Source organism: Homo sapiens, chromosome 3, assembly GCF_000001405.40.
Source record: "Homo sapiens chromosome 3, GRCh38.p14 Primary Assembly".
NCBI lineage: Eukaryota > Metazoa > Chordata > Mammalia > Primates > Hominidae > Homo > Homo sapiens.
In genome coordinates, this window is record NC_000003.12 from 11,999,366 (window position 1) to 12,022,773 (window position 23,408).

At 41.5% G+C, this 23,408-nt stretch overlaps 1 protein-coding gene across 3 annotated transcripts in view, besides 1 other annotated feature; it reads left to right on the forward strand.

Annotated features, from left to right (window-relative positions):
• SYN2 (synapsin II) overlaps window positions 5,023–23,408 on the forward strand; it is a 187,645-nt gene continuing 169,259 nt past the window's right edge. For all 3 annotated transcript variants that reach the window (NM_133625.6, NM_003178.6, XM_006713311.4), the window contains exon 1: window positions 5,023–5,563. In NM_133625.6, coding sequence (NP_598328.1) covers window positions 5,187–5,563 — 377 coding nt within the window. In that variant the 5' untranslated portion in view covers window positions 5,023–5,186. The remainder of the gene's footprint in view (window positions 5,564–23,408) is intronic.
• Window positions 5,722–6,222: an enhancer, noted in NCBI's record as "H3K4me1 hESC enhancer chr3:12046587-12047087 (GRCh37/hg19 assembly coordinates)". NCBI's record gives its function as "activates a minimal SCP1, AML or CMV promoter by ChIP-STARR-seq in naive and primed H9 embryonic stem cells {active_cell/tissue: H9 hESC(naive and primed)}" and the evidence as "EXISTENCE:reporter gene assay evidence [ECO:0000049][PMID:30033119]".

Sequence of the window (23,408 nt, forward strand, 5' to 3'; positions counted from 1 at the left end):
TAGTGTTGGGATAAGTGTGTGTGGGGAGAATCCTTTTTTCTATTTTAGTTGTAGTGGTAGTGAGCTCTGTGGTTCCCTGCGAGTCAGAAATATTAATAGCTAACATTTGCACAGGCCTTTACAACTTATAAAATACACTCATATACTTGGTCTTCTTTAGTACAATAGTCCTTCAAGATAGTTATGATAATTATCATCATTCTTTTACAAATGAGGAAACTAAGGCTAAAAATGACTCACTCAAAGTCACACAGTTAACATGAGGAAGATTTATGGGGAATTGAACTTATATTTGTGTGATTTCTAATTTTAGCAAACTGGCCCAGCTGACATGGTCACCTTTTGAGAATTAATGTCAGGGCATAGTTGTCCTCTGCTGACTCTATACCGAGGTAGAAGAAGGTATCCACAGGCTGCTAGCAGCATTGTCAAGAAGGACCATCTAAATGGAGATGACAAACTCTCATCATTGGGGTCTCCAAAATGACAGGTAACAAGATGGTGTAGAAGGCAATAATGATGCCTCTTCTGGTACAGCTTTGTCCCTTTCAAAGTGCTTTCCAGATTATTTTATGAGAGGCCCAAGTCAGGCAGACACTTTCATTCTCCATTTGCATATGAGGCCCAGAGACCAGAGCAACTTGTGTAAAATTGCAATGCCAACTAGTGATGGAGCAGGACTAGGATGTACAATTTCTGAGTTCCAGATTCTTTCTACTTTCCTCTACAGCAGGCGAGTCTAAATGGGGTCCCTGACCCTGGGTAGTGAGCAGGAGCCAAGGATGTCATGGTTTCCTTTCTTATTTGGGAGGAAACCCAGACAACAAGCATTTTGCCAAGTGGCTCCATGCACCAGGCTTTCCTTTAAGCTAGGTTTCTGAGCTCTGCCCTACAGAGACAAAATTGCTCCTCAGTCATGTACCCAGCCTCTCTCTCTGTGAGCTATCTCAGCTGCACTGTTGCTCAAGGGAAGAGAGAAATCAGGCGATAAAGCATTTAAATTGGTGCTTGATTTTAGCAGGATTCTTTCATCTGCAGTTGCCAGATGCTTAATTGTGTTCAAAATTCAGTGGGAAGATAAAGATTACAAAGGAAGGATCTCAAAGAGTCCTGGGCTTCTAGAACTGGAAGAGACCTCTGAGATTCTCACAGTGAGAATCTCAGTGGCTAAGTCAGACACTGAGGGATGAAGAAAGGTGGGAGAGACCCCCTACACCGATTGCTGTGGGAGAAATGCCTTCTACCTGGAGATGACGGGAAAATGCTGGTTGGTCTTAAGAGGGAGATAGGTAGAAAATTTCATATTTTATAGACATTCCTGAGTCCAAATCCAGTTATCCTTTCATATTCCAGGTAAAAGGTAGGCGACAGAGTAATAGTGCTATGTTCTACCTGTATCGGGAACCCAGATCCACAGGTAAGGATAAGGGAAATATTGTCATTACAGCCCATTTATAATAAGACACGATGCACTGCATGTTTCTGCAGCATGCAAAAACACTTCTTGGCAAGGACTCACTGCAAGCCGGAAGATACTGATTTAAGCAGATGTGATTTACAGTTGTACTAACTAATGAAAACTTCTGATCATACACAACTGATCAATGACCACTTATGCCCAATTATATGAAAACAGTCTGTTCCTCCACAAGAATAATATTCTTATTAAAACCTACCAGAAAACAATGTAATAAATTAATGGAATATTTGATAAACATTTTTAAATGATCTTGTAGGCCTCCATGGTTTCTATGAAGGGCTCTAAAATAACATTTTAGAGAACATTCTGATCTAGCTCCCACAACTGGGTCACTTACTATGTGTTAGAGGCTTTGTAGATCATTCTGAGAAAATCAGAAGACAGAATCCCTCACCTTGAGGGGCTTGCAATCTAAAAAGAGAAGCTGGACAGACACTAGCAACATAAACATATGCATAAGTACAGCCTCTCAGAGCCACCCCTACAAACACTAGAATGCATATGCCAGTGCCATGAAAAGCTCAAGAAAGACAGTGAGAAACAACACAGACAAGGTTTTTGCCTTCAAGGAGGAGATTCAAGAAGTTCAAAGGGATAGCCTTTGCTCTGGCTATCCTTTTTACCTTGGCTGCCTTCTCCATCCACTCTTTCCTGCCTGTCAGAATTCCGCCCATTTTATAAGGCCTGAGCCTTTCTTTCTCTGTGAAAATTCCTGTCCCTGAGATCTCTTCTTCCTCTGGCTCCTTTAACACTCACTGCCTGCTCTACTTTCAGGTCACTCACAGGCTGCTCTGCTATTGCTAGTTATGTGTTCACATGTTTATGAGCTGTCTTCTTAAGAACTTGGGTTTCATTCATCCCTGAATCTCCTTTACCCTCCTGTCCCTAGCATAATGGCTTGCATGTATTAGGCATGAAAACACGTCTGTTAATTGGTTGATTTTAAAAATATATGCATATACTATAAGCTTAACGGTTGGGGAAATTACTTACTGAAATATTATTTTAAAAAACCTATCACCCCCAAAATTGAAGTGACACAGTGTCTGAAATCCCTTCATTAGAGATACATGCCTTTGATGGCCGGACGTGGTGGCTCATGCCTGTAATCCCAGCACTTCGGGAGGCTGAGGCGGGCAGATCACCTGAGGTCGGGAGTTTGAGACCAGCCTGACCAACATGGAGAAACCCCATCTCTACTAAAAATACAAAATTAGCTGGGCATGGTGGTGCATGCATGTAATCCCAGCTACTCAGGAGGCTGAGGCAGGAGAAATGCTTGAACCCGGGAGGCGGAGGCTGTGGTGAGCTGAGATCGTGCCATTGCACTCCAGCCTGGGCAATAAGAGCGAAACTCCATCTCAAAAAAAAAATTTTTTTTTAAGAAGGGCAATAATTAAGTTTATTTAATTATGTTATTAGTGACTTATCAGTTTTATTCTCCAATAAACACAAAAACCGAGTTGGGTAAGATTACAGTTCAATTCTCAAACAACTGAGTCCTTATTACATGCCAGGTCCTGTGTTTGGTGTGAAGCCCAAAGATAACTAAGACATAATCCTGTCCTAGAAAAGCTTACATTCTAGTCACCAGAATATTGTATGATAGTTTCTTTGGGGTCTATGACAAAGCCAAGCACAGGATATGGAACACTTAGCCCGCCCTGGAGGATTGACGAAAGGCTTCCTGGAGGAACCATCAACTTACATACCTTCTCCATGCCTTCTCTGGCTGCCTGCCTGCCTGCCTTCTTCACTTTTCTACTGGTAAACATAGCTGCCTCAAGATCCACCTCAAATGTCACCTCCTCTGAGAGGCCTTCCTAAGTCTCAGAGGCAGAATGAGTCCCTCCCTCCTTAGGCCTCCTAACCCTCTTTGCCCAACTGTATGATAGCATTTCTCACATCTTATGTGGTTCCTGTGTCTATCCTCCCTCCATCCCCCAGCCCACATAGATCATGAACTTGCAATAGACAAGAGCCACTTCCCATTCATTTCAGCCTTTCCAGCTCTTACCACTGTGCCAAGCATGTAGTAGATAGGAAGACCACTGTGTTATTATAGTTGACTGGAGACTTCTCTGATAGCACCGGCTCAGAGCTGGATTGTGTATCTCTAGGCCCTGAGTTGAGTGCCAGCTGGGATACAGGAAGCAAGAACTGCCCACCAACATTAGTGACAAGCCACTCCCTGACTCCATTCAGCCCAGTACATACTTACTGAGAACCAATTGAAAAAAGAATTCAGGCATCACTACTGGAATACCTACTGCTGTGTACCAGATGCTTTACATACATGATCTCATTTACTCCATGTAACAACTCTGGAAAGGGTTACTTATTCCTTTTTATCAGCTAAGGAGAGAGGCTCACAGGGGTTATTGATCCAGGGTCACATATCACCCGGGGTAGTCTGCTGTAAAGCCTATCTGCTGTGTCCTGCTCCATTACAACACAAGGGAAAGTATATCTAATGAGAGATGAAAACTAAAGGTCCAAGAGTCACGCAAGATTTAGAGAGTGCACATGGGAAGGTGGCCATCAGAAATGTCTTCACAGAGGTCAAGGCAACGAATAAAATGGAAAAAACAAGTAGAAAGATCTTGAAGAGATGTCCTTCTTGGTATAGCACTGGATGCATCAATGCATGCTAGGAAAGAAACACGGTGGGGTTGGGGGATCCTTAGATATCCCTCTTGGGGTGGAGACCATGTCTCCAGTCTTCTCTTGGTTTTCTCTCACTGGTCAGTGAGGAGGGGGAGAGAAGTACATACTGTTGTTGTCCCTAGAAGTGCAGGAGTGAAAACACACCCCACCCCTCCTTCCATGACAGAGTAGAGAGGATCTGTTTCTCCCCTTTCCTCTCCCTCGCCTTGGAGTAAGGAGGCTGCCTTCCTCCCTAGAAGAGGTATTTCTTTTTTGTCTCACCATAGGGTGTGTGTGTGTGTGTGTGTGTGTGTGTGTGTGTGTGTGCGCGCGCGCGCGCGCGTGTGTGTGTGTGTGTGTTAGTAACAGCGGATTATTCCCTTCCCCCTCTTCTGGGGGCTGGGGAGATGACATCTTTCTCCCCAGCGTTGGGAAAGGAGGTGGTTCTTTTCCTCCTCACTACAGGGTGTTCGTGCTTGTGTGCGTGTGTGCGCGCGTGATTGGGATGACTCCTTTCGTTCTCACCTCCGCATAGGGAGGCTGACACCTCTTATCCTTCCAAAAGGAGTGGGGTCGGTTTCCTTCGCCTCCATTTCAGCTGGGACACGGCTCTTTTTCTCTCCAACCAAAAAGATGGTGGGGCCTCTGGTTCCTTTTCCTTCCCCTGGGGAGAAGGCCTGGCTCCCACGCCCTCCCCGCATAGTCACGCTCAGGTTGCTGGAGGCCTGGGTCGCCCCCTCCTGCAAGCCCCGAGAGTCGCCAGACGCGCGGCTAGGTGCCCTCCGTGAGCGGGGCGGGGCCGCCTCTGCGGCGCGGGGCGGGGGCTATCTCTGGCCCCGCCCCTGCCCCGCCCGCTCCCTCTCCGCGAGCCTCGCGCCGCGCGGGTTGCCTGGCCCAGACCGCCGCTGCTGTCTGCGGGGTCTGGTGCCGGGGCCTGAGTCTCTGCTGGCTAAGCCGCCGCCTCAGCCGCCTCAGTCGCCTCAATCTCGCCTTCCGCCCTCGCTCTCCCTCCGCGCCACCAGACCCCGTAGCCCCGCGCGCCCCCAGCCCTTTAAGCCAGATGATGAACTTCCTGCGGCGCCGGCTGTCGGACAGCAGCTTCATCGCCAACCTGCCCAACGGCTACATGACCGACCTGCAGCGGCCCGAGCCCCAGCAGCCGCCGCCGCCGCCGCCCCCCGGTCCGGGCGCCGCCTCGGCCTCGGCGGCGCCCCCGACCGCCTCGCCGGGCCCGGAGCGGAGGCCGCCGCCCGCCTCGGCGCCCGCGCCGCAGCCCGCGCCGACGCCGTCGGTGGGCAGCAGCTTCTTCAGCTCGCTGTCCCAAGCCGTGAAGCAGACGGCCGCCTCGGCTGGCCTGGTGGACGCGCCCGCTCCCGCGCCCGCAGCCGCCAGGAAGGCCAAGGTGCTGCTGGTGGTCGACGAGCCGCACGCCGACTGGTAGGTGCCGGGCGCCGCCGCCCTCGGGGGTCGGGGTCCGCCGGCAGCCGCAGGCCAGGAGAGGACGGTCCCAGGTCGCCGAGGAAACGTTTCAGACCAATAAAAAGGAGGGTCCCCGAGGTCCCGCTGGGAGGAGGTGCGGGCTGAGCGCGCGCGCGTTTGCGGGGTGAGGGAGGGCATCCATCAGCCCGGAAAGGCGAACCCAAAGCTAAAATACCCCTCAATTGCCCCAGGTCCCCCAGGTCCCATACAAGAAGGAGCTACTTTATGCAACAGGAAAGGCCCTTAGGAAATAGTTTTTTTGGGGGTAGAGGAGGGGACACACTTGTTAGCTTAGACACATAAAATCTGAAGTGAAATAGTCCCAGGAGGCCGAAGGAACATTTAGGGCCAGTAAAAAAGGTTTAACTTCATGAAGCACGGAGTGAATTTGGAATGGAAATTGGTATTTTGGAGGGAGAAGGTGGTGGTGGGTTTTTTTTAACCAGGACCCATGAAGGCTGATATCAAGTATTGACATCAGGTTGATGAAATCACACATGTAGTGGCCCAGGTGTACACGGGCTTGTTCCCCGGAGCATGGCTGAAGTCTCTTTATGAATAATAAAATTGTTGTATTTTGTGCAGCAGGGAGGGGACGTGTGGAATTTTTTTTTTTTTTTTTTGATTGCTTGTTTTTCTGAAATGTGCGTGGTGGGGGGCGGGGCGTGGAAGTGAATGGTAGCTTTTTCTAGCTGAAAGATGAAGACCTTGGTAAAATATACTGGATCATTAAAGGGGTACAAATAAAAGGAGACCTGCCTTAATGTAGTAGATGGGAAACTTCAATAATTTTTTTTTTCTTCTAAAGAGATAGGTAGCATGTTTCCAACTTAGAATGGTGAAGGCTGCTGCTTGGTAAAAGTACGAATGAGGTCCACTGAAGACAAATTAGTTAAAAGCGGCTCTATTTTATAGTTAACCTAGGGAATGGTGGGATGGTGAAATTGATAGGTGAAGGGCTTGGAGAAATGAAGAGGCCGAGAATCTGGGGGTGCCTTTTCTCCAGGAATGTGAGCAAGGGTTTTGTTTTTTTTTTTTTCTCATAGGGGTTGAGGTTGGAGACTGGACCTGAGTGTTCTTCCCAGGAGGGGTGCACAGAGAGACCACAGAGCTATTTCTCTCCATTTCCTCTTTTGGCTGCTTCACTGCTTTCTCTCTCTAGCATTCTCTCTTTGGGAGACCCAGAGGGAGGGAGTGCTGGCGTGTGGGTGTGGTGGAAATGAGATGCAGATGTGGAGATGCCCTCCTGCTGGCTGCTAATGTCACCATTCTGAATAGTCCTTTGGGTGACTTATGTGGTTGGCCTTTTCAAGAGAGTAGAGTAGAAAATCCGAAAGGACTTTTGCCAGGAAATGACAAAGGCACATGGAAGAGGGTAATGGGGAAAGTGTAATGCATATGATAGTGCCACTGGCAGCCCTCCTTAGAATTACTCTGACTCAGTTCATATCAACAAGTGCTTATTACGGAGGAAGGGAAGGTAACCAAGCTAGTAAAGGTGCTCAGTCAGAGCATCCATTATATGCCAAATGCTGTACTCTCAGCATGATATCTCATTGCATTTTCTTCACAAAACTGAGGCTTAGGAAAGGTAAGTAATATGTTTACAATCATGTAGCCAGCAAGTGGTAGAAGCAGGATTTGAACTTAGGCCTGTTTGACTCCACTGCTTTCATTCCACTGTGTTATATTGCCTCACTATTATTATTAGCAATATTAATAACAAGCTCCCTCTAGGCAGTGTGGGGGCCTTTTAAGAGAACTCACTCAAATTGGGACACAAAGTGGATACATGAAACAGTTAAAAAGAAATCTAGAATTATTGGTTGAGACTAGTGTTTCAGGCAGTCAACAAATGGAGTGGTTAGTGAGAGCCAGAGTTATTGGAGAAAGCTTCACAAAAGATGAATCTTGAAGAAAGGCCAAGAAAAGGAAGAGGAGAAATGAGAATGACATTCGTGCTTTATTTTTCTGTGCAGGAATTTGACCCTTCTGTACCTTGTCCTGATTTCTTATCCTATTAAATGCACTTGTTTTGAGTCTTATTGCCAGTTAGGTATCTATAGATAGGTACTGATACTTATTTGTATGGGTATGATGAAGCTGCTGCAGATTTCTGTTTAGTTATAAATGCTTCTGTAGCTTAAGATTTGAAACTCTCTTTGGATAGTATTCTCTAGGAAGCCTATTTGGCATAAACTAGAGAATTTGCCTTGCCCTGGAGACTAGAAGCCTCTGATGGAAGTCATAGAAGCCACTTTCCCGTGGGCTGACTCCCAACTGTTTTCCTATTTTCTCTGAAGTAATAACATTGATTTATTAAAACTCATAAGCCCAGTTCAAGTCTAGTTCTTGACAACAGTTTTTTGCTCCTGTGTTTCTGTGCTTAATAGCAGTTCCCAGAATTGCTCTTCTAATATGGGCCTAAATTTGTCAAAAAATCTCAGTTAAAAATTGATGAGTGGTTTTATTGAAAAGTCTCTATGAGTTAAGGAGCAGGTGCTTGCCGTGACAAGCGCAGTGACTTACACAGGTGATTTTTGCACTGAAGACTGATTTTAGTAAAATTGTCTCACAGTTTAAGCTACCTAGATAGTATTCAATGAGTGATATCGTATATGCCCTATATTATTTTTCTGGTGCTGGAATAGGAAGTCAGAGTGTAGACTCATTAGAACTTAAGAATATTGGTCCCCTCTGAATTATATAATGCTAAAATAAAAAGAGTCTGAACAAGCATTTAAATAGCAAGAGATGTAAAAGAAGGGCTTAAAATAAGCAGCCTCTCAGAGCATCCTTAATACAACAGCAGTTTCCTTTGAATTTCTGTCATTGTAATTGTGGGCAATTGGAGACCCCACCACTGACCAGGTTGATGGGAAAATTGGAAGATGTTTTTCTTTTGCTGGAAATGTTTTCATTGGTTGTTTGAGATCTTTAGATTAATCGCACACTAAAAGATCGTTGAAAAATTTATCTGTGCCATTAAAAATTGAAATCAAGCTCTTTATATACCTTATTATTTATTATTAGTATTTTGTAAATATTGTCAGAAAATGTCCTCTTTTAAGGTTCATGGCTAAATTTGAAATGCAATTAAGATTGCACTTTAATGATCGTGCTTAAACAAGGAACAGGTGTTTATGTTGTTTCTTCTGTGTGTTATACTCTCACCAGCGAAGAGATACGTTTTCTCTCAGATTCTGTCCTGCCTTTGTTCCGGAGATTCTGACCCCAGTGATCAAGTGAGCTTTTCATCCTGGCATGATGTTTCAGTGTTTGATTCAGTATAGCACAGGTACTCTTGAGTGTCCAGACTGCAGATATAAGGCAACAGATATTTATGAAGCACCTTCTCTGTATAGGGGATATTTACTAAGAAAAATGAGACACAGTATCTGCCATCTAAGAGCTTGCTGTCCAGATAGGTAGATAAGATAAATACTTTTGAAAAAAAATTTACTAAAAAGTAGGGCCTTTGGATCAACAGCATTGGCATCAACCAGGAGCATTTTGAACTGCAGAATCTCCAGTCCCACCTCACACCTACTAAGTCAGAATTTGCATTTGAATAAGATCCCCAGGTGATTCATAATCACATTAAATTTTAGATGCACTTAGCTGAAGGATATGCCATTAGTGCTAAGGGTATGGCAATAACACCAACTACTGTCATTTATTGAACAACATATGCCAGATTTACTAAGCTTTGTACCAATCTCATTTACTCTTTACATAGCAGTGTAATACTGCAGAAGTTTAGAAGAGTTAAGAGATGGATCTGGGCTAGAGTGGGAATGGAAGGTTTCTCGGAACAAGTGAGGTTTTAACTGAGCTCGAAGAATTGGAATCAAAAGAGATAGGTTTGTCTCAGTCCAGACAGTGGATAGCATAAGGAAAGTACAACTGCAGAAAAGAGGGGGACAACGAAGAGACTAGATTGATGCGTTATCTAGGCGGTACCTGTCTCCATTCTTTTCTAGCCAGCCTTTGAGCATTTCATCAAGAATAGAGGAATTCAAAGTACTGCAGTCTGCTTGAACCAGTGCTTGTGAGTGGCTCTAAAAAATACTTGAATTTGAACTTGAAAGAACACTCAAATAAGGTTTGGGGCTTCTCTTTGTTTAATACTTTAAGCGTCTTATTTCTAACATAAATATACTGATTGCACAGAATTTGATTGTTCATAGCAGCAGTTGCCTGTACTTTAGAATTCTCAGATATTAGAGCTGAAAGATCATCTGAGTTACTTTATAAATGGGGAAATCTCGATCTCGAGAGGGGATGTGGCTTGTTCAAGGTTACTCACTTAGCTAATGGCAGAACCAGAACTAGAATCTAGAACTTTAATCTCTCTACCATGTTTTTTTTTTTCCCAACTCTACCACAGTATCCCTCCATTTTTACTATTTTCTACCTTTAACTTTTATATTTTTCCATCCCTTACTATCTCAAGGACTGGTGGGGACTTTTAGTCTCATAATGATAGCATTTAAACCTGAGGGAACCTGAATCATCATCTAGCCTAGAGAAATGGAACATTTTGCCCAAGGTCAAATGAGAAGTTAGTGAAAGAATGGGAACTAAAACTCACATCTGACTCCATTTCAAGTTTCTTTTTACTCTTAAGTCGCTCTTTGAGATTTCTCAAATTCTTTTTCTCCTGAAAAATACTGTTTGTGTCGGCTTCTTTTAAAGACTCATCATGGAGCTGTTAGTAAGTGCTTAAAAAGACCATGTAAGCACGCTCTCACACTATTAGTGACACCAGCAATTACACTATTCCTTGTTTGTGTTCATTTATGTTATTGTTGTTTCAGCAAAGTTCATTCTAAAATGGTTGAAGAAGGTTGGGCGCGGTGGCTCACGCCTGTAATCCTAGCACTTTGGGAGGCCGAGGTAGGCAGGTTGCCTGAGCTCAGGAGTTCAAGACCAGCAACACGGTGAAACCCCGTCTCTACTAAAATACAAAAAATTAGTTGGTTGTTGCGGTGTGTGCCTGTAGTCCCAGCTATTCGGGAGACTGAGGCAGGAGAATTTCTTGAACCCGAGAGATAGAGGTTATGGTGAGCCGAGATCGCACCACTGCACTGTAGCCTGGGCGACAGAGCAAGACTCCATCTCCAAAAAAATAAATAAAATAAAATGGTTGAAGAAGACTCTTGGAGACCTAGTCGTCAAAATCCAGCAATCTAATAAAGTTAGTAGGACTGTGCCGTAATGCTGACCTTCCCTTCAGGAACCCATTTTTAAGTTAGCGTTCCTATCTACCTAAGGTTGCTTACTGTCTTTCTGTACCCAAGTTCAGATCTGTAATAACCTTGTTCTTTTTAATATCTTCCTAAGGAAAAAGGAATGGAGGCCTAAATAGGAAGTTTTCCAGATGTGCATACCTCCTCAAATTTACAAGGGATATAAGGATTAAACACAGGCCATGTCTATTGGAATCGTCCAGTCCAATGGGAGAGGACAGGCATTTAAAGAGGATTTTAATATTGTATGGTAATTAGTATGCATAGGATGCTATGGGAACACAGAGATAAGTTATCCTGGGGAATGAAGATCTTGTACTTAGAAATGTTCCATTAAAATGTGCCACCATGTATTCTTAGATAAACCACTTCGCATCTTTGGACTTTGATTTTCTAAAATTTGTCAAATGAGAGGATTGAAATATATTCTCCAAGATCCTTTCCAGTACTGTATTATTTCCGTGGTTCAGTTTTTGTGCCATTTTCTTTTAAAAGCATTAGCTCTAATTTTTTTCTATATGGTAATGCCTGTAAATCTTTGGAAGCAGAGACATACGTCAATAAATGACTAAACATTTCCCGGAATGAAAAGCTCACCTTTGAATGGTCTTAATTCAGTACCTCCTTGTTACATTATTGCTACCATATGTTATCGTGAAAAAAGAGGCTAATCCTGTGATGCCTGCTGTGTATATTTCCTCATCAATGATGGGAATTGGGACTTGTGGCTAAATCTATGTGGGAATCTAAAACAAAAGATGACAATGCCACCTGATAAGCTTGCAGAAGTTCTTACAAGATTTACAGGTGTACACATAGTGGGAGTGCCACTAAACACACAGAAAAACCAAGATACAACTCTGTCTTGAGGCTACTGCATTTAACCATGACTTCACTCTAGGTGGTGGATATGATCCTGAAAAAGCTGTGTATATTGAGTTTTTGTAAATTGAATAATTTCAAAAACAGTGGGGCACTCACTATTTAAATGAATTGTGGAAAATCTTTTGCAAGAGAAATTGCCTTTTTTATAAGAAAAAAATTGTTACCTAATTTTTTTTAGCTTCCCACATAGAAGCAATTGGGTATCATAAAGCTACAATATCTCTTTAGAGAAAGGAGAGGATGATCTAGAAGGCTTTTCTGTTCTGCAGACACTGCTTCAATACAGCAGGAAGACGTAGTTTTTAGTAGGGCAGTGACCTGTGGAGAGAATAAAGTGAGCAGATACCACAGGTGCCTGAACTCTAAGGATGTCCATGCTGCATGACTAAGAATAGGAGGATGTATATGGGCCTTGGTGTTTGTTGCTTGACAGCAGGCATTTCAGAAATTTTAACCAGTTCATGTAAGATTGTAAAATAGATTAGATTCAGTCACCCTGCCCTTCTTTCCTTTTCAGCAGCATGAAACAATGTGAGATACAGGATTGAGGGTCAAAAGACTTCGAATTGAGATCTGGCTCCACTGTTAGCCTTATGGCCTTATCAGGTTTACATAATCTCCTTGAGCCTTTCTCCCATCTATTTGACAGATTTCCGCTGGAGGTCTACTATATATCAGGCACTGTTCAAGGTTCTAGAATAACAGACAAAAATTAGTTTCATTACCTGTAAAGTGGAGATAACATTATGTATTTCTGATACCACTGTTGTGATAATTAAATAAAATAAGGTACCATAAAAGCATTTTGTAAAAGCTAAAGAGCCATACTAGTAGTTAGTGTTACATCTTTCCCTGTTTCCAGCCGCAGGTATCTGATCTACCTTGGTTCCTTTTTTGAGTTCCCAAAATTTTGTTATGTAAGTGATTGTTTATTTTGCACACTTCTGGGATGAGGAATCTTCTTTTTGTTGTTGTTATTTAGTTGAGGGCCACCGACTCAAGACAATATCATCAAAGGCTTTCTTTTGTGTTTTTCAAAAGGCAATATAACTTAGTTTTTTTTTTTAATGACAAAAACATTACCCATTAACTCAGCTATATTTAATAATTAGGGGCAGAACCACATAAATCTTAATTTTATTTAATAAGTGAATTCTAAAATAGCTCTCCTTCAGTTTTACTTGTAACTAATTAAGGAAGGATGGCTACAGAGGAAAATGAAGGAAGAGAGAAATACACAGAAGGCCTTTAAAAGGTAGTGCTTGTATTTGTTTCCCTATCCAATCAAAGCCTAGAACATTGCTTTCAGAATATTTTTAAGCAAAACAAAAGCATTCACGGATCTTAGAAAGTTAGCTTCTTTCTTAACATTCTTCCCTAACACGTAGTTGCTCATTGTGCTTATTCACAGTTTGCCTCCAGCTTTTCAGACTCATTTCTCACTGTCCCCTCAATCCTGAATTTTGCTGTACTCTGGATTACCCTCTCCCTGCACACATGCTGGACTTTTAAGACCTGGTGCTATTATTGCACAGCTGCCTTTGTTTGGAATGCTCTTGTCCTGGTTCTCTTACCTTAACGTTGATTTTCTTTATTTCATTCTCCGAGGATAAAGGCATTGCCTATTGTTGAAAAAGACTCATCTCTTGTCTTCTGCATGACCTTGCTTAAGATTTCATCTCTCTTTTTCCTTCTGTTCATATTCTCATTTTCTACTGATTGCTCTTTCTATGGGTTGCTCCATTCTTGTAAATAAAGTAACAAATGAAAAACTCATCCTCACCTTCCTAATCACTCTTCCAAACATGAAAGATAAATCTCACTCGTTACTTATCCAGTTATTTGCCCTTTTCCACTGACACTGGCCTTCTGCCTTCTCTGTAATATTGATACTGTTCTTGCTAGGGAACCTAATTGCTAAATCCAGAGGAAGGTGTCAAATGTTCACTGATGTGTTTGACACTGTATATCTTCCCTTTGGAAGTCGCTTGGCTTCAGGACACTGCATTCTTTGTTCCTTTTTAAAATTTTTAAATAGTTTTGTAAAGACAAGATCTTGCTATGTTGCCTAGGCTAGTCCCGAAGTCTTGGCCCCAAGTGATCCTCCTGCCTCAGCCTCCCAAAGTGTCAAGATTACAGGCATGAGCCACCACCCCCAGCCTCTTTGTTCTCTTCATACTTGTTTTATCGAAGTTTCTTTTCACTCTTCTTGTTCTTTCCCTTTGTCTACCTCATTAAATGTAGATGTTCCTCCGGGCCCCCTTTTCCTGCCCACTTCTTTTTTTATACTGCATATTCTCCCTGGTCCATCTACTCTCAAGGTGTCAGTTACCTCTTAAGTACAATCAGTTCCCTAATCATTACCTTTAGTCCAAAACTTTGTCCTCATCTTTAGACATATGTGCAGCTGCCTGCTGGACATCTCCATCTGGGTGGTTAAGAGTCGTTTGATCCAATATTGAAATCCATGTTTTTCCTTCCTATTCCAGCTCTTCTATTCTGTATTTTAAGTGGGACACCGATGGTCACCTATTTCAAGTTCTCATTAACTTTCACCTAGAACTTCTGCAAGTCTCATCATGATTTCCATTTAGTAACCTGAATGAACTATTTAAAATGCAAATTTGACCTTTTTACTCCTTTGCTTAAAGTTTTTCAGGAGCTTCTTACATCCTATAGGTAGTTTATGGCCCTCCTGTGATTTGACCCCTGCTTTCTTCTCCTGCCGTCTCTAATTATTTCCATGTCCAGACTTCCTTTTCCAGCAATACTGAACTGTTTGCACTTCCATACACACATTGTTGCATTCCTCCTCCTTGTCTTTACTGTCTGCTACTACAGTTTCCCTTCCTCCCCTTTCCTTTTCTTGATTAAATTCATATTCATCTTTTGAGACTGAGTATTTCCTTTTCCAGAAACTCTTCTCTAACTCTCTAGATTGTATTGAGCGTCTATGCCCCCTCCATGCCCTCTTTCAATACTGCAAGTATCTTTATCTCTGGACACAACACAATGGTCTGTTTATGTGTCTGCTTCCCCACTAGATAGTGGGTTCTCTGAGGACAGACAGGCTGAATGTTTCATTCCTTTTTGCATCCTTAGCATCCAGCATAGGGCTTGACACATAGATTGAGGACAGTAAATCTTTGCCATATTGAATTGAGCAGCAAGAGAGTCAAAGGATGAGATAAGGGATAGAAGGTAACAATGAAGAGAGGGAAGTATCCTAGGATTAGAAGTATATGTTAATATGTTGGAAGTCATCCTTACTGTCTTCAAATATAAGCTTTAGAATGCTTTCACTCTTATGTCCTATGAAATATAAATTAATTACTAATTTTCAACCATACCACATCATAAATCTTTAGAGATTTAGCTCTGAATGAGAGAGCCATAGCAGCCCACAATACTGGAAAGTATTATCTAGTCCATGGCAGCTCTGAGCAGAGCAAAGGCAAATGGAATAAAATTGAGGACCAAGTTTCTCTTACCATATATTGACACTTGGCTCTCAAGGAACCATTTTTCTGAAAATTCGGTCTTCTTTTTTCCTCAGTGTGAAACTCCAACCTCAGGCCACCCAAGCTGTGTGTTTCTTTCTCTTTAGTGAAAAAGTTCCTTTGGGCTATTGCTTTGTCTATACCTTTATGAGTTTTGTGTGCCTTCTTCCACACAGCTTTTTTGGCTTCCTGTTTTTTCAACTGCAAAGTGGGATTGTGGGAATGGTTTAACTTCCCCATTCTAAGGGCTCTTCAGAACTATCACAAACAATATATTTGTTTTCTTGAAAACAGCTTTAATTGTAAACAGTTTACTAATGGTAGAATAGAGATTTGGAGAACCAAAACATCATTGTGATTGGAAAATGTTGAAAGTACACAGCAAGCATTCATGATCTGACTGCTTACTTCTCCTGCCTTGCCTTTCTTTGATTTGCCACATACTTTGATGTAACCATGAGACACTACATAGAGTTAATTGAATGTGCCGTGCCCCTGTGTCTTTATTTGTACTACTTGTGCTTCCTGAAAGGCTTTCTTCTCCTGTGTCTTTACCTGGATAATCTTCAAGACTCAACTCAGTTGTTGCATCGTCTAGCATCAGGACTTAATCCTTCCTTAAATTATTTCCATTTGTGTTAGAAACCACAATACCATTGATTACCTGTCATAGCAGTTAGCCCACTGTATTATAATCAGGGTTTGTCTGTCTTCCCCAACACCTCACTTTCGACAACACTGAGATCCCCTTGAAGGCAGTGACTATAACTTTTATTTCAGTATCTCCAGGACAAAGAAAGTTTTCAGTACTTATTTGTTGAACTTATCAGTGACTTATGAAAAAAATTATGAAAATATCAATGATGAGCAAAAGCAACTCGTTGGTTCCCTGTAAATATAAACAAATGACAGCTGCATTAACCGAAGTAACTAGTCAGCAAGTAGTGGTATATATAAAATCTTTTTATAAAGTGTAAAGTGCTATAGAAGCATTAATTATTGTTACTGGATTAGAATTTCCTACACCTTCCGTTACATAAGGCTGATTACGTACCTGCTCGCACCTCTCCCTCATTCACCCTTGTCTGATGTTCCTAAACACCCCATGCTTGTTTTTTTCTGAAGAACAGCTGTTGTGCTCTCTGCTTCTCCTCTCTCAGCCTAGGCATTAAACTGCCTTTGTTTCCTTGAGCTTTTCTCAAGTTCTAGGGTTTGTTCGTTCTTTTCTTCTTTCTATCTAGGACTGTTCTTCCATTCCTGTCCTCCCAAGCACAACTATAATCCCTTTTCCAGGATATATACCTCTTATCTCTTTCTCTGTTCAGGGGGCCTGACAACTTCGTACAATAATTTCAGCCTGATTTAATCCTGTACAAAGAGGCTTGGGCTTCGTGAGAGGAAATTGAGATCCCCTTTCTCTATCATGGACTGAATCTTTGAAGGCCCTCAATAACACAACTGAAAACTGTTTCTTTTATATTTCTAGATTCCAGTGATATAGTGTGAATCCTTTTTTGTTGTACCTTGTAATGCAACTGTAGCAATACATATGAATATATATTTCCCTCTTCTGTCCCTCTCTTCCCCTGATGAATAGCTAATGGTGAGAATTTAAGTTCTAGAGTCCTGTGTTCACTAACATTTTAACTGTTAGATAAAAGGGCACCAATGAAAGATTGATGAAATAATTAGCAAACTGCTACTAACTTGAATGTGTTAGTTGCCATGAAGGCTACGAAACCAGTGAAATACTTGAAATCAAATAATTATAGAATATATGCTTTCAGTCTTGTAGGACTTATAGAGAATCTCAAGGAAGACAGAATTAGGATAGTGTAATGGAAAGAGCATTGCAAACACTTAAAACACCTGGGTTCAAGTCTGTACTCTGCCAACTAACTTTTTGTGTCACCATAGGCAGTTTAACTGTTCAAGTCTCAATTTCTGTTTCAAAAATTAGGGATGTAGGCCAGGCGTGGTGGCTCACGCCTGTAATCCCAGCTCTTTGGGAAGCTGAGGCGGGCAGATCACTTAAGGTCAGGAGTTTGAGACCAGCCTGGCCAATATGGTGAACCCCATCTCTACTAAAAATACAAAAATTAGCTGGGTGTGGTGGTGGGCACTTGTAATCCCAGCTACTCGGGAGGCTGAGGCAGGAGAATTGCTTGAACTTGGAAGGTGGTGGTTGCTGTGAGCTGAGATCGCGCCACTGCACTCCAGCCTGGGTGACAGAGACTCCATCTCAACAACAACAACAAAATTATGGATATAGGCTAAATCATCGATCTTCAGAGGCCCTTATGAAATCAAGTGATCTGTAGAAATCAAGTGGTTTCTAAAGGTTGGACTGTTTGACTATATAAAGAACTCTTTATATAGTCAAACAATATCACAGTCTCAGTGGACTGTAGAAGTCAAAATGTTTCACAGAAGTCACAGATCTGAGCTGGGTTTTGATGGAAGAATGGGATTTAGATTAGTGAGGTGGGAGAGAGGCATTTCAGTTAAGAGTAAGAGAAAGAGCCAAAGCATAACATCAGTAATGAGTAAGATGTGTGTAGTGCAGATGTAGGCTAGTTGGCATAAAGGTTTCAAGGCAGGGAAAAGAGGGAAAGGCTTGGATAAACAAGGTGGGAAAAATGATAATACATAATGTATTGGGCATGTATTTTGTGACAGGCAGGCACTGTTCTAAGTAGATGTATTAACTCATTTACTAGGATATCAAGTAGATTACTACTATTAACCTAATTTTACAAATGAGGAAACTATAGCTCACAGTGAATTCGGAATTTGTACCCAGGGAGTCCAGCTCCAGAGTTCATGCTTCCATGCTCCTAACCATCATGCTCTGTGATTAATGGATAACAATTTGTTCCATATTTCTCCTTTCCACTGAACACCTTGGTATTTCTTTTTCTCAGTGACACAGATACATGTTTGACCTTGAACAATTTCTTATTCTCTCTGAACTTTCTTCATCTAAAAAGAGGAGATAAAGTATATCTCAAACTAATTGAAATAAACCTTGAAAATGTCTAACAATATGATTGACACTTGACAGATGTTCAGTGAATGTTCCACCATGACAAGCAGATTTTCATAGCAGCTTTAAGACAACAGCTTACTACATGAGTATTTATAGGAGCCTTCAAGTGAGGATAGGAGCCTGTCATTTGTGAACAGATTTTCATGACACTAAAAAATGATTTAGAAAAATAGAACAAACCTAGATGAATATTCCTTCATTTTGGTTCGAGCAATTTGTTGTACATGGTTTGGAAAACATTGATTAGCACTGTTTTGAAACAGTCTCTGGGGAAGATGTTTTTAAGCTGACTTATATGTGGAAACTTCATACTTTGAGCACTATCACATTCATGTCTCATTTAATCCTCCACACAATAGAATCTGTGGTGCAGTACTAATACTATTCTCATTTTACATATGAAGGAATTAAGGTCTAAGTAGGTTAAGATGATTACCCAAGCTCAAATAGCCAGGAAGTGATAGAGTCGGGACTAGAACCCAGATTTGTGGGTTCTATAGGTTCTGTGGCCTGGAAAAGAGAATGTTCTACAGAAGGGACAAATCTGAGCTGAGCTTTGAAAGATGAGTGGGATTTAGATTAGTGAGGAAGGAAAGAGGCATTTCAGTAAAAAGGAAGAGATAGTAAAAATATAGTAACAGTAATGGGAAAGAAGTGTGTAGAGCAGATGTAGGCTAGTTGGCATAAAGGTTTCAGGGCAGGGAAAGGAAGAAGTTTGGATAAGCAGCGTGACTTTGGATCCTGTGTGTATTTCTTGAGGCTTCCTAGACTGAGTGCCAGGTGCCATAGAGCCAGGTGGTTAGCTAATCTGGTTGGAAATTTTGTGGGCAAAAATATCAGTTCTTCCAACCATTTAATAGACTTGTTTTCCAAGGGCATTTAGCTTAATGATTTCCCTTTGGTGCTAGCTTGGAATTCTCTTGCAGAAACATCTAGATTCTGATACAAAAGGCCAATGAACAGCGCCATGAAGAGTAGTGATGGGAGGATTGAGACTAGTTTAATTCATGCCGTAACAATTTGCTATTCTTCTCTGAATCTCAGTTTCCTCATCCTTAAAATTGGAATAATTTTACTTGTCCTAATTTCTTCATGAGATAATGTCTATGGGAGGACTTTGCAAACTGTAACAAAAACAACAGATTTCAATATGTATTGTCTGAAACTCTAGTAACTGGTGGGATTGAGAGTAGGTAGATATGAGGAAGAGTTCCCCACTTAGTTTCCTTTTAGGTATGGTCATGGGCACTTTTTCTAGTTATGAGAGTAAGAACTTAGGGGAGGAAATAGGTTTTCTCAAGTATCAGGGCTGTTGAGTCTAGTTAGAACTGTGTAGGTAGTGAATTTTGTTTTCTTACTTTTTGGTGCCTTCTCTCTCCAATGATGCCTCTTATTCTCTGTCTGTGGACATATATCTTATGACCTGGGACTCATTCCAGATGTGAACGTGTTTTCTGAATCAAAATTGGGACATGAAGTCTTATTTGCCAGTGCAAGAAATAGTCTGGGAGATTTTTAGATGCTGAAATGGGGGAATTTGGAGGGAATTTTGGTGGTTGGAGACTACAAGACTGAAAATGTGAAATCAGCAGGTTCTTGGGACATTTAAGGCAAATTGTTGTTGGCATCCCTATTTCCTAGCCCTTAGTATTCAGTAGAGTGAGCCCGTGAGCTAACCATGTTAGCTCAACTATGAGTTGCTAATGGTTACTGGCAACCCTTTTTCAGGTTTCTGCATTTTCATAGAAGGAGCTGGGAAACAGAAAAACTTCTCTGACACTAAGTCATGAATAGTGGAATTTCAGCACTATGATCAGAGGAAAAGGAAAAGTATTCTTTATTGCCACCCACCTACATGAAAAGTCTACTCTTTGAAAGAATAAAACATCAGTTAACTTGGCAAAATGGGATGAGACTAATTTTCCTGTAGCCTCCAGATAACTTATGCAGTCAGGTTTGTTTGAAAAAAATGCACTCAACTTAACTGTGACCCTTGGAAGGAAATTGTAGTATTTCTGATTCCTTATTAAGGTCATATATTTAAGTAAAACTTTACAATTTATGTACTTTGACTTGTATGTACCATTGCACTTAATTGTCACCTTGACCTTGTGAGGTAAATTGGTATAATTTCCTGCTTAGATTAGGAATCCAAGGCTCAGAGAGCTTGCGATTTTGCTTAAAGTTATAACACCGAAATAAAGCTGTGTCTAAAATCAATACTCTTCTCACTCTGTACCCTTTCTCTGTGCGGCTAAGCTCCTTTCTGATCTCTGCATTAGTCAATTGATGATGCTTTTGCTTAGAAGCACCAGGGATAGATAAAAAAATTGCTTAAGATGGCAAGAGCCTGTATGGTTTGTGACAGATGTTGCGTAGGTTGGATGAAAATAATTTAAAGATCGTCTCCTTTCCCTATATGTTTTTGTTAATGCTTATAATACTTCTATGACTTAGAGTTCTTCTGGTATATTTCAGACTGATTCTGAGTTGTCAGGAAAGAGGATTTTCACTCCAGAGCTCAGTTCTTTTAAAGCTTCTTATTTTTCTTTGTACCTGGAAATTTATTTCTTAGCCAGAACTCAGAGTGGCATCAGACTTAAACTTAAGTTCCTACTAAAAAGACTGTTCTCTGCTGGTCTGTTTTTTTTCCTGTCCTCTTCCCCCCCACCCTGGCCCCCCACATAATTAGTCCCTCTTGCAACATCCTCCTCTTCTTCTGTCCCCCCAGTTGATTCCAGCTGTAGTGATATGGAAGGTTCCTGGAGTAGAAGGGCAGTGGGTTTTGGAGTAGGGAAAGGATTTGAAGCACCTGGCCCTCTGACTCGGGATACCCCCTGAAAGTTTTGGGAGGTTCCCTGCTGCTATGCCCACTTCCCAGGATCCTGTGCTTTCCCCCAGACCCTTAGGAGAAAGATCTAGGTAGCAGCTTTGAAGGAAGAAGGACTCTCCAGAGATTCTTCAGTGCTGATTTAGTTTTTCCCCTAGATGTATCTTAGAAACAGGCACCTAGATATAAACTTTTTGTTTGACTTTAATGATTTACCTCCTCTCCCCTTCTTGGGGGTATTTATTTTGAGGTTTCCCATGTACTTCATATATTCTTTCATGAATTATTCAGTAGGAATTGGTGCTGTAACGCGAGCACAAGAAACATTGCCCTGTCTTCACAAAGCCTATAGTTTAGTGGAGGAGACAAGCTATTAAACAAGCAATGTAATAAAGTATGATTTATTATATCAGTATGATTAAAGGATGTTTTAAATAGAAAACATTTATCTCATAATTTTACCATAGCAGTAGAGGAGCTGCTTTCACATTTTTTGTATTCTCTTCTAATATTTGTTCATATACACACATTTTTACATAATTGTGGTTGTACTCTAGCTATAACTTCATATTTTTTTCACTTATAAATAATTTTGACATATGCCAGTCTTAAAAATTGTATTTTTTCATGGCTAATGTACCATGATTTCTTCAATTTATAATTCTGTTAAAGAACTGTATTGACTTCCAATTTTTCACCATTATGACATAGTACAACCATAGGCATTCTCAATTTTCAGGAGACCAACTACTTGATCAAAGATTATTATATCTGTAACTCTTGGTAATGTTACTATATTGCAATATCTGAAAAGATTCTATGAAAGGTTTTTTTCTATTATATTTGCAGTCTATCAACCATTTTTACCTCACTTTGCAGCACATGGTATTATCTTTTTTAGTGTTAATATCCATAAAGCAGTATTTGCCCATTTTAACATGTATTTCTATGAGTATACCAGGTAAGATTAAATGTTTTCCCCAATGTTTGTTTAAAAATATGTGAAATGTCATGCTACTTTGGAGGCTGAGGTGGGTGGACCACTTGAGCCCTGTGACCAGCCTGGGCAGCATAGCAACATCTTGTTTCTACAAATAAATAAATAAATTTTTAAAAATGTGAAACGTCAGTTCTTGTCTTTTGGCAGTTTGTTTGTTTACTTGGTGGTTTGATTTTAAATGGGCTATTCACTGTTAAAGATGAGGAATGGGTAGCAGCAGCTAGAATGGCTTCTTGGGTGTTCGTTCCAACTTGGCAGAAAACATCAGTGATTGTGAAGATAAGAATCAGATTCTTGGCTGGGCGCGGTGGCTCATGCCTGTAATCCCAGCACTTTGGGAGGCCGAGGTGGGCAGATGACCCAAGCTCAGGAGCTCGAGACCAGCCTGGCCAGCGTAACGAAACCCCGTCTCTATTAAAAATATGAAAAACAAATCAGCTGAGTGTGGTGGTGTGCACCTGTAATCTCAGCTACTTTGGAGGTTGAGGCACAAGAATCCCTTGAGCCCAGGAGTAAGAGGTTGCAGTGAGCTGAGATCACACTGCCTCACTCCAGCCTGGGTGACAGAGTAAGATTGCAAGGCTCTGTGTCAAAAAAAAAAAAAAAAGAGGTTCTTTCAGCTAAAATCAGTACTACATACAGGACTGACACCTGTGGGGTCTATACTAGGCTGTGAGTTCCATCAGGGCAAAGGCCATGCTTTATTCTTTGCCTCAGCCTTTAGCAGCCTGGCTGATGGTAGGCCTCAAAAAAAATGTTGAAGAAATTTCAAGTTCTTGGGACACTGGATAGTCTCCTCCAAATATCACTTCCGCATCTTCTTATATTGCCTAAAGTTTCACCATTTAAGTTTCATTTCATTCTTTGGATTTTAAAGAATGAAAATCTAATCTTGGAGACCTCTAGGAAGTTATTATTATTATTATTATTATTAGTTTTTGAGACGGAGTCTTGCTCTTTTGCCAGGCTGGAGTGCAGTGGCGCGATCTCGGCTCACTGCAACCTTTGCCTCTCGGATTCAAGTGATTCTCCTGCCTTAGCCTCCCGAGTAGCTGGGACTACAGGTGCACGCCACCATGCCTGGCTAATTTTTGTATTTTTTTAGTAGAGACAGGGTTTCACCATATTTACCAAGATGGTCTCGATCTCTTGACCTCGTGATCTACCTGCCTCAGCCTCCCAAAATGCTGGGATTACAGGTGTGAGCCACTGTGCCTGGCCTATTCTTTAAATTTTTTTTTTGTAGAGACAGAGTCTTGTTATGTTGCTCAGGCTGCTCTCAAACTC